Here is a 10,529-nt window from a genome sequence, read left to right as displayed (position 1 = left end):
TCCTATGTTCTCTTGAACTCTTACTCATCAGACATGTATCCCCACTACTTCCCCTAAACAGCTCTTGTCGAGGTTGCAGGCCACTCTCTGAGTGGATAACCAGCGACATGGCATGTGGGACAGCTGGTTGCCCTTTCTGCCTTCCTGATACACTTTCTTCATCTGGCCACCACAGCATCTCTCTCTCTTGGTTCTTCTTCCTCACTGATTGTTCCTGCGCTATCTCCTTTCCCAGGTTTTCCTAATTTGCCCCACAGCTTATTCCTTGGATCTTTTCTCTCCCTACCTTTACTCCATTATTTCTCATCCAGTTTCAGGGTTTTAAACACATACTCCAGATTTGAAACCTGTCTACTGGACATTCTATGAATATCTACTTTTGATCTCAAATTTAATATGTCCCAAACCAAACTTCTCCCCCAGGATTCCTATCACAGTTAATGGCCACTCTGATTTCCAATTACTTAGTTCAAAAACCTTTAATTGTCTCAACCCTGTAATGCCTTTCTCAGTCCAAGGGCCAGTCTTTCGCCCAAATGCCAGACAAAGCTAGAAAGGCCACCCAGTTTTCCCCATGCTTGTTGATGGAAACTCCACCCTTTCAGCTGCTCACATCAAAACCTTTTGCATCATCCTTACCTCCTCTCTTTCGTTATACTCTGCATTTTTGTGTTCAGCAAATTCTGTCAGCTCTATTTTCAAAAAATATCTAGAATTTGACTTTTTATTTTTTATTTTATTTAATTAATTTATTTATTTTTTACCAGTGGTACCCCGCCTAAGCCCTCGCTATCTCTGCGGGACTGTTACGGCCACTGCCTGGCCTCCCTGCTTCGGTCCTTGCTCCCTTACAGACCATTCTCTGCATTCTCCTCCTGGCAGCCAGGGTGGCCATGTGACATGGAAGCCCCCAAGCTGGAGGCTGTGTGGAGCCTCTGCCCCTCCACAGCCTGTGTGGAGGTCTGCCCTGTGGGCATTTCTCATCGGGTGAGACCAGAGACTGAGAAAAGGAAAAGACACAGAGACAAAGTATAGAGAAAGAAAAGTGGGCCCAGGGGACCGGCACTCAGCATATGGAGGACCCACCGGTTTCTGAGTTCCCTCAGTATTTATTGATCATTATCTCTACCATCTCAGAGAGGGGGATGTGGCAGGACAATAGGGTAATAGTGGGGAGAGGGTCAGCATGAAAACATGTGAACAAATGTCTCTGTGTCATAAACAAGTTTAAGAAAAAGGTGCCGTGCTTTGATGTGCACATACATAAACATCTCGGTGCATTAAAGAGCAGTATTGCCGCCAGCATGTCTCACTTCCAGCCCTAAGGCGGTTTTCTCCTATCTCAGTAGATGGAATATACAATCGGGTTTTATACCGAGACATTCCATTGCCCAGGGACGAGCAGGAGACGGATGCCTTCCTCTTGTCTCAACTGCAAAGAGCCGTTCCTTCCTCTTTTACCAATCCTCCTCAGCACAGACCCTTTACGGGTGTCAGGCTGGGGGACGGTCAGGTCTTTCCCTTTCCACAAGGCCATATTTCAGACTGTCACATGGGGAGAAACCTTGGACGATACCTGGCTTTCCTAAGCAGAGGTCCCTGCGGCCTTCAGCAGTGTTTTGTGTCCCTGGGTACTTGAGATTAGGGAGTGGTGATGACTTTTAAGGAGCATGCTGCCTTCAAGCATTTGTTTAACAAAGCACATCCTGCATAGCCCTAAATCCATTAAACCTTGAGTCGACACAGCACGTGTTTCTACGAGCACAGGGTTGGGGGTAAGGTTACAGATTAACAGCATCTCAAGGCAGAGGAATTTTTCTTAGTACAGAACAAAATGGAGTCTCTTGTGTCTACTTCTTTCTACACAGACATATTAACAGTCTGATCTCTCTTTCCTTTCCCCACACCTTACCAACCGATCTGGATCCCAGCTCCCTCTCTGACTTTGGGTGATATTCAAAATGCTAAACAGCACAAAATGGTATGGCCGGGGCACTGACCAGTTCAAAACCGGTAGCCACTACAGGTCTTGAGGAGGGTTCTGAAGCACTCTAACTCTGCCAGGCATTACCATAGGGGAGCCTGGAAACAACACAAACCATTTTCCCTCTGTTCTCACATCACAACAATCAACACAAAAGACTTCTGTGACCAAATATATATGGGTTTTTCAAGTGTGAGGGCTTAGTCCCCATGGCTGTCTCCTTTCCAGACACGTCACAAGTCCCAGACCTCTGTCCTGAACTTCTGACCTGCAGTTTCAAGTTGGGATTCCCTACCCCCTCTTTGGGTTGGATTAATTTTCTAGGACGGCTAACAGAACTCAAGGAAACGCATTTACCAGTTTATTATAAAGTATGTTACAGGCCAGGAGCTATGGTTCACACCTGTAATCCCAGCACTTTGGGAGGCCAAGGCGGGCGGATTACCTGAGGTCAGGAGTTCAAGACCAGCCTGGCCAACGTGGTGAAACCCCATCTGTATTAAAAATACAAAAATTAGCAGGGTATGGTGGCGGGCACCTGTAAGCCCAGCTACCTGGGAGGCTGAGGCAGGAGAATCACTTGAATCCAAGAGGCAGAGGTTCCAGTGAGCTAAGATCATGCCACTGCACTCCAGCCTGGACACCAAGAGCAAAACTCTATCTCAAAAAAAAAAAAAAAAAAAAAGAAGAAGAAGAAAAAGGATATTATAAAGGATGCAGATGAAAAGATGCATAGGATGAGGATGGGGAAGTGGCACAGAGCTTCCATGCCCTTCCTGGACACCACCTTCCAGGACTCCACCTTCCACAGAACCTCCATGTATTCAACCATCTGGAAGTTCCCGGAAGCCATTCCTTATTTATTTATTTTTTTTTATGGAGGTTTCAATATGTAGACATGGTTGACTAAACCACTGGCCATTGGTGGTCAACTTAACCTTCAGCCCCTCTCCCCTTCCTGAAGGTTGAAGAGTGGGGCTGAGAGTCTCAAACTTCTAGTCCTGCCTTGGTCTTTCCTGTGATCAGCCTCAACCTGAAGCTACCCAGGAGCTGCCAGCCCTCAGTCAACTCATAAGTATTAAAAAAGAAATCACTTTGGAGATTCCAAGGATGTTAGGAGTGGTATGTCAGGAAATGGGATGAAGACCAAATATGTATTTCACAACATCACATCCTATAGCTACGGGATATGAGGAGTCTAAGCTTTTTGGAGGAAGGGCTGGTGTGGCATGTGAGAGCTCAGAAGAGTGGCTGTTTTCCAGCCAGTGTGGAAGTTTGTCAGTTGTGCAATGGTCAGTATTCCCACATAGGTGCACCGTGGCTGGACACCAGCCTTGCTACCAGCTTCCTCCTTGTGTGCTCACTCCTGCCCCGGTGGCTTCCATACTGTCATTTGACAGATGTCCCTCTGTGTGGGAGGCTCCTCTCCCATTAGGCTTATCCCTCACCTCTGCAGATCTCTGCTCAAGTTTCACCTCCCTCAGAAAAGCCCATAATGGCCACTAGACCATCCCCAACACTGTTATCTTCCTTATGGGCATTGTTCTCCAGAGGTCTACCAACAATCTGGCATACTATTTATTTACTTGCTTATTTTTTGTTCCCTGTCTTTCCCCATTGGCATGTGAATTTCAAGGGGAAAGGGGCTTTGCTTTTCTCTTCTGCATCTCCTGTGCCTACACCTAATAAATACTCACACACATTATTGGATGAATTATACATTAATGAGCACTCTGTCATTAATTAAAGCTAATCATTAGTACCAGCCATCCCTCTCCTAAAGCTACAGCTCAGAATAAATAAGGGTATTTGGAGAGCCAGAGCTACCCAAAGGTGGAATGAGCTGTTTCACAGCGCCGGTGTGCTCTCACTTTTGGGAATTTGTGCATTATGTTGGGAAATCTGGGCTCCATTAACCGTATGCAACATACATGGTATGTTGCAATCCCATACATGGCCTGGGACTCACCGTATGCAACATATTTCACCATGGCCTGGGATTCACCATATGCAACATACTTCACCATGGCCTGTGTGTTCTCATCTGCAAGATGGGGTACTATCACTCATGCCACAGGGTTGTGGCAACCATGTACACAAAGTGCTTGTCACAATGCCCAGTACATATTAGGTGCAAAATAAGTACTGATTCCTCGCCCACATCTTCTCTCATCCCTGCAGGCGTTTGGTGGCCCTCAGATGGACATATGGCTTCAAGGACTCAAGAGTAGGTGGGGGACATAGAGTTAGGCAAGGGCTGGAGATGGGGGTAGTGGTAGGGATTGGTGCCATTGCTCCTGCTGGGATGGATCCCAGGCCTGCCGAGTTGGAGGGCACAGAGCAGACCCCATCTGTGCCACCAGGCCTTCTGTGATGCACTGGGAGTAGTGACAAGCGTTAACCCAAATCATGCATATTCAAAGCCTGGTCTGGTTCCCTGGCACAACGGGCCAGAGCAACAAATCAGGTAACAGCTTGCCTCCTTGAGTAGAACTCGGAGAAACTGGGTCTTTCAGGTATGAACTAATAGGGCAGGATGTGTCCCCAAGAATATATGAAAAAAAATTCAGGTGGATTATCTCTAAACCCAGATTTCTTATCCAAAAGTTGGTGATCCCTGGGCACCTTAGAATAGAATTCAGAGGGCCCAAAAATTCGAATAAAAAAAACAACAACCTTATTTTTACTGATCTTTAACTTATAGTATATACTTCTAATTTGAATATAGGCAACAAATCACATTATGATTTGTGGCACTGGTGTCTTTGTTAGCAGTAGAATTTGGAGATAGTTCTATATCATATTCTAATTGTTGCTGATATTTCAAAGTATCATCCCTACTCATCATTACTTTGAAATAATGCAATTGTAGAGAAGCATTGCAGTATCTTGTTATCTAATGCATTACTGAATAGGTTTTTTAAAATCGTACTTTGCTGTCATATTGACAACTGTATTTTAATGTCATTGGTTTCATTTTTAGTCCTGTGTGTGTGAATATATTCCACATATTTTAAAAACATACTGAGAAGGGTCTACGGACTTCAACAGACTGCCAGAGTGATCGATGGCTCAAAACCGTTTTCTAAACCATCTCAGAGAAGACAGGTAGATGTTTGCTGTGCTGAGTGTGTGTGTGTGTGTGTGTGTGTGTGTGTGTGTACACGTTTATGCTGTACACACACGTGGATATGCTTGTGTTTAGACCCAGAAACAAACCATGAATCTAATTTCAGGAACACTCTCCTCCATGTCAAACTTTGATCCTTTCTTCCTGCCACAAACTAGGTTGCCTGGTGTCAGCGGACCTGGAGGATAACTCTGCTGCCCATTGTGCCCTAGTGTCCCCAGACTGCAGTGACGTCACTGGCTCCTTCCCCAAGTGCCTGGCTGGGCCAGTGGACTCCTTCTCCCTGGGACTATCTCTCCAGTGCTATCATCATCCATTCACCAGGACCACACTGGCACTGATTATCCCCCTGAACTTGCTCATCTTTCCCCATCTGTTACTCACAGAAGGGCTGAGCTTCTTTTTAGATCCAAGAACTTCACTCCACTTAGAAAAACAAAATATGGCACCCTGAGTAGAAAACTGGTCAATTGTTAGGTCCCTGTATAAAGAGATGGGTGCTTCAGAAGAGCCCAGAAAGCTTTGCTAATATCTGTCTCGTCCCTCTTCACCCCTACTTCTCTGGCCACATTGACAGAACTGCTCAACCTGAAACCACTTGAGAAGCCATCTTCCCTGTTTTTTTTTTTTTTTTTTTTTTTTTTTCATTTCGATCAGATAGATTGGGTCAGTGGAGATAAGAGACAAAAATGGCAGAGTGGAATGTTCAGAGTTGATCATGAATATCTGTAATGTGGAGTTATGGAAGGCCAGAAAGATCCCTCACCTACTTCCATCTCGAATGGCTTCACTATACAGGCAGGGAACAAGTGATAAAAACACAGACATGTAAGGAGCTCACACCATCCTTGGCCCTGGAGATGCAATGATGAGCAAGATGATGTCTCTGCTCAAACTCTGGAGGGGAATGCAAAATGTAAACAAATGAAAAGAGAACAACATAAGAGAGTATGTTAATGACAACCTTGTAGCTGCAAATGACAGAATTCAATTCAGACTAGTTCAAAAAAAATAATTGATTGACCTATTAATTAACTTTAATGTATAGATCAGCTTTCACTGGATTTTGCTTCAGTAACAACACTCTGTCCCCAAAATCTCAGTATCTTACATGTATAAAGGTTTATTTCTTACCCACAATACATGCCATTCACAGAGTAGGAAGCCTGCAGTTCTCCTCTATATCAGTTTACATTTCTGAACCAGGTTGATGGAATCACCTCTTTCTAGTAGAAGAGGGTAAAAGGCAGCTCTGAAAGCACACACTCATTCTTCCAGTTCCTGCTCAGTGGCAGCATGTATCACTTCAGTTGACAATGGCCAAATGTTTACATCAGTTTCCATTGGCCAAACCAGTCATAAGGTCAAATCCAGTATTAACTGTGGTGACAGGAATTAGCAATGGAGCCAGTCTCAGTTTCCTGATGTGGAAAGTCTGCGGGTTAACCTGTCTCTTAGTTCTCTTCCATTCTATGGCTCTGATTTTAAAGTGTTCTTTCCTACCTCTGAATCAGTTAGGATGTTTTGGTTACAAGTCACAGAAAACCCTGACTCAAGAGTTTTAAACAATAAGGGGGTTTATTTTCTGACATGGGAAGCTGCAGGCAGAGCCAGCTTGGTTTGTGGGGACCCTGGTCCCTCTCCTTGTGATTCTCCTGACTCTGATTTATTCCATGGGCTGGCTGTTTCTTCAGGCTGATTCCTCTTGTGGTCAGAAGTTGGCTGCAGTCTTTCCAGGCATCCCATCCAGAAATGACAATGTCCAAAGGAAGAATCTTGCATCTCTTGTCAAGAATGAAGAAACAACCATGGTCTCCCCTGAAGAGTAAGCCCTCTGAAAGTGGATAGCTGAACAATGTCAGGTTCTTTTAGGAGGGTCAAAGGAGAAATGGCTGTTGGATATGCATTAAATAAACTTTGCTTACAATTCTCATTTAGAATTGGCTCTTCCTAAGACATCTTCCATTTCTCCCACCCCTGGTTCTTTTTGCTACCTGGCTAGCAGAGGTGGGGAATGTGATATTTCTCTAGCAGAACTCTAAGAGTACTGGCAAGATACAGCCAGCATGAAAATGACATACTTCTTCCACATGTGACTCTGCAAACAAAAAATAAGATTAATCCCAGGCTCTAGGAGTTTCATTTATTTTTGAGTTTTTCAGTAAAGAGTCAATCAGGGAGCATTCTCAGGCTCCAAGGGCTATTTCTCGGAGGATCAGAGAGCCATGGCCCAGTGGCCTGAGAGATAAATGGCTTTCCCATTTTGTGTTTTTCAATGTAGATACCATAAAGAAAGAGAAAGGGACAGAAAGGGCTAGGTCGGGGCCTTTTACCTTCTTCTCAAACCTAGTTCCTAGGATTAGCCCCTCCACCCTCTGGCTGGAATTCCATTCAAGAAATGGGCTCTTTTCTTTGGAATAATCTCACACAGCAAACTACTGTTTCTCTCTTTATTAATCTCCAGCCTCAGGGAAAAAAAATCAAAATCACACCTGAAAATGCTTTAGATATTGGAATCATCATGTGAAGCCTATAAAGAAAAATTTGCTGGGCTTAAATAAATGAAAATCTGACTTTAAAAATTATCAAGACCAAAGATTATAAAGGAGGCCAACTAGATTTCAAAAGTGAATCAAATGTAACTTTTAGAAACAGAAAAATATAACAATTAAAATTAAAACTCAGGAGATGGATGAAACAGTAAATTAGACAGCTGAAGAGAGAATTAGTGACTCAAAGCAGGTTCAAACAGTTTTCCAAAATGAAGCATAGAGAGACAAAAACAATTTAGGAAAGGTAGGTCAAAATATGTGGAGTAAGAAATTGTAATGCTTATACTATATGTTGAGCATCCCTAATTCTAATTTGAGAATTCAAAATTCAAAATGTTCCAAAATCTGAAACTTTCTGAGTGCTGACATGACACTCAAAGGAAATGTTCATTGGAGCATTTTGGATTTCAGATTTTAGGATTGGGATGCTCAATTCTAAAATTGTAATAACGTAAATGTTCTGAAAATAAAAAAGAAAATTCCAAAATCCAAAATGCTTTTGGTCCCAGGAATTTAGGATAAGGGATACTCAAATGGTATTTTGAGGTTGTTCTTACCTTTGAGGAATTGCATACCCAGCAATTACAGTCCAAACCTTAGTCCGTCCAACAAATCCCAACCATGGTAGAAGAACTCTTGCACATGTACATTAGGAGAGACAGACAAAAATATTCATGGCATCAATGCTGAAATAGCAAAGACAACAACACCAAAATACCAAAACTAAAAACCAACAGAAAAGCAGATAAATAAATTGTGATAGTTACTTTATATGTATATATTATATATAAATCATATTGTGGTTATGAAATAGTATCTAGAAGTGAAAATTAATGAACTACTATTGTACACATAAACATAAGCAAGTCATTGAAATAATATTAACAAAACAAGGAAGTCACAGAAAGATAGTTTTTTTTTATTTATACAAAGTTCAAAAGCATAAAAAAATAGAATGATTTACTGTGTAGGAATATGTGAATATATGAAAGCCATAAAGAAAAGTGAAGAAATGATAGATAAAAATTGAGGTTATCTTTGAAAGCTGAGGGAGAGTGATGGGATCAGGGAGAAGCACACAGGGAGCTAATGTTTTACTACTTGAGCTTAGTAGTGGCTTTGTGAGTATTTTTTTTATTTTTATACCCTCGTTATGTTAGAAATACCTTTTTATGTACTCAATATATAAAAATGTATGAAAAATATGTGTCAAACAAATATGTACCAAAAACATAGCAAGGGTGTCAGTTTTATCAGACAAAATGGATTTTGAGGTAAACATTATAAAAAGAAACAAAGAAAGGTACTATATATCAGTAAAATAGTATCTGGTACTACAGATAACACAATGGCCCCTAACATATATGCACCTAATAATAAAGCCTTGAAGTATATAAATTTAAAAACTGAGACATAACTGATATGGTTTCCTTGTGTCCCCACCCAAATCTCATCTTGAATTATAGCTCCCATAATACCCATGTGTTGTGGGAGGGACCTGGTGGGAGGTCATTGAATCATGGGGGTGGGTTTGTCCCATGCTGCCCCCATGATAGTGAATAAGTCTCATAAGATCTGATAGTTTTATAAAGGGTTGTTCCCCTGCACACATTCTCTTGTCTGCCATCTTGTAAGGCATGCCTTTGCTCCTCCTTCACCTTCCACGATGATTGTGAGGCCTTCCCAGCCATGTGGAACTGTGAGTCCATTAAACCTCTTTTTCATTATAAATTACCCAGTCTCAGGCATTCCTTCATAGCAGTATGAAAATGGACTAATTCCATAACTATAGGAATAAGCAGATACATCATTTATTATAGTTGGTAATTTTAACATATTTCTCTGTGAAACTAATCAATTAAACCAACAAAAAGAAAACAAATGGTAGGTTTGAATTACACAATTAGTAAGCTTGAACTAATACAAATATATTTCACACCTAATAAATACAGAATGCGTATTATTTTAAAGAAAACATGGAACATTCACAAAAGTCAACATTGAACTTGGGTGACAAAGGAGGCTCAATAAATTCCAAAGAGTCAACATCACCTCGTAGACTATACTCTCTGGCCATAATGCTATAAAATTAGACGTCGATAACAAAAGGATAGCTTTAGGAAAATCCCATATGCCTGGAAACTAAAAAGCATACAAATGAATAATCCTTTGGTTAAAGCGGAAATCACAGGGAAAAATATGAAATACTTGGACTTGAACAAAATAAAAGCACCGCATGTCAAAACCTGTGGGACACAACGAAATCATTTCTCTGAGAGAAATTTATAGCTTTAAGTATATTTATCACTAAGTAAGAAAGAACAAAAACAAATGATCTAAACTTTTAGCTTAAGAAGTTAGAAGAAGAGAGGTTGAGTGAACCCAAATAACTTAGAAGGAATGAGAAAATAAAAATGAGTTTAGAAATCATCAAAATGAAGAACTAAGAAAAGTGGAAAACAAACAAAACCTAAAGTTGGTTTTGTGAAAAAGTTTATATTTCTGATAAGTCTCTGGCAAGGCATTCAAATTTTAAGAAAAGAAGAAAATACACAAATGAAAAAATATAAAATGAATGAAAAAAAAAAACAAAGACCCAACAGAGTTGTTTTTTTTTTTTTTTTAAATAAGACTATCATAGATTATTATAGAAAAACATTTCAAAACTTAGGTATGGTTAATAAAATCCTGATAAATAAAGCAAAACTGGCAGAAGAAAAGTTAAATAAATAAGTCATAATTTTAAAAAAATTATTGAGACAGGGTCTCACTCTGTTGCACAGGCTGCAGTGTGGTGGCACGATCACAGTTCACTGTAGCTTGAACCTCCTAGGCTCAGGTCCAACCTCAGTCTCCTGAGTAG

Source organism: Homo sapiens, chromosome 12 (genome assembly GCF_000001405.40).
Source record: "Homo sapiens chromosome 12, GRCh38.p14 Primary Assembly".
NCBI lineage: Eukaryota > Metazoa > Chordata > Mammalia > Primates > Hominidae > Homo > Homo sapiens.
Note: the sequence above shows the minus strand (reverse complement) of the source record.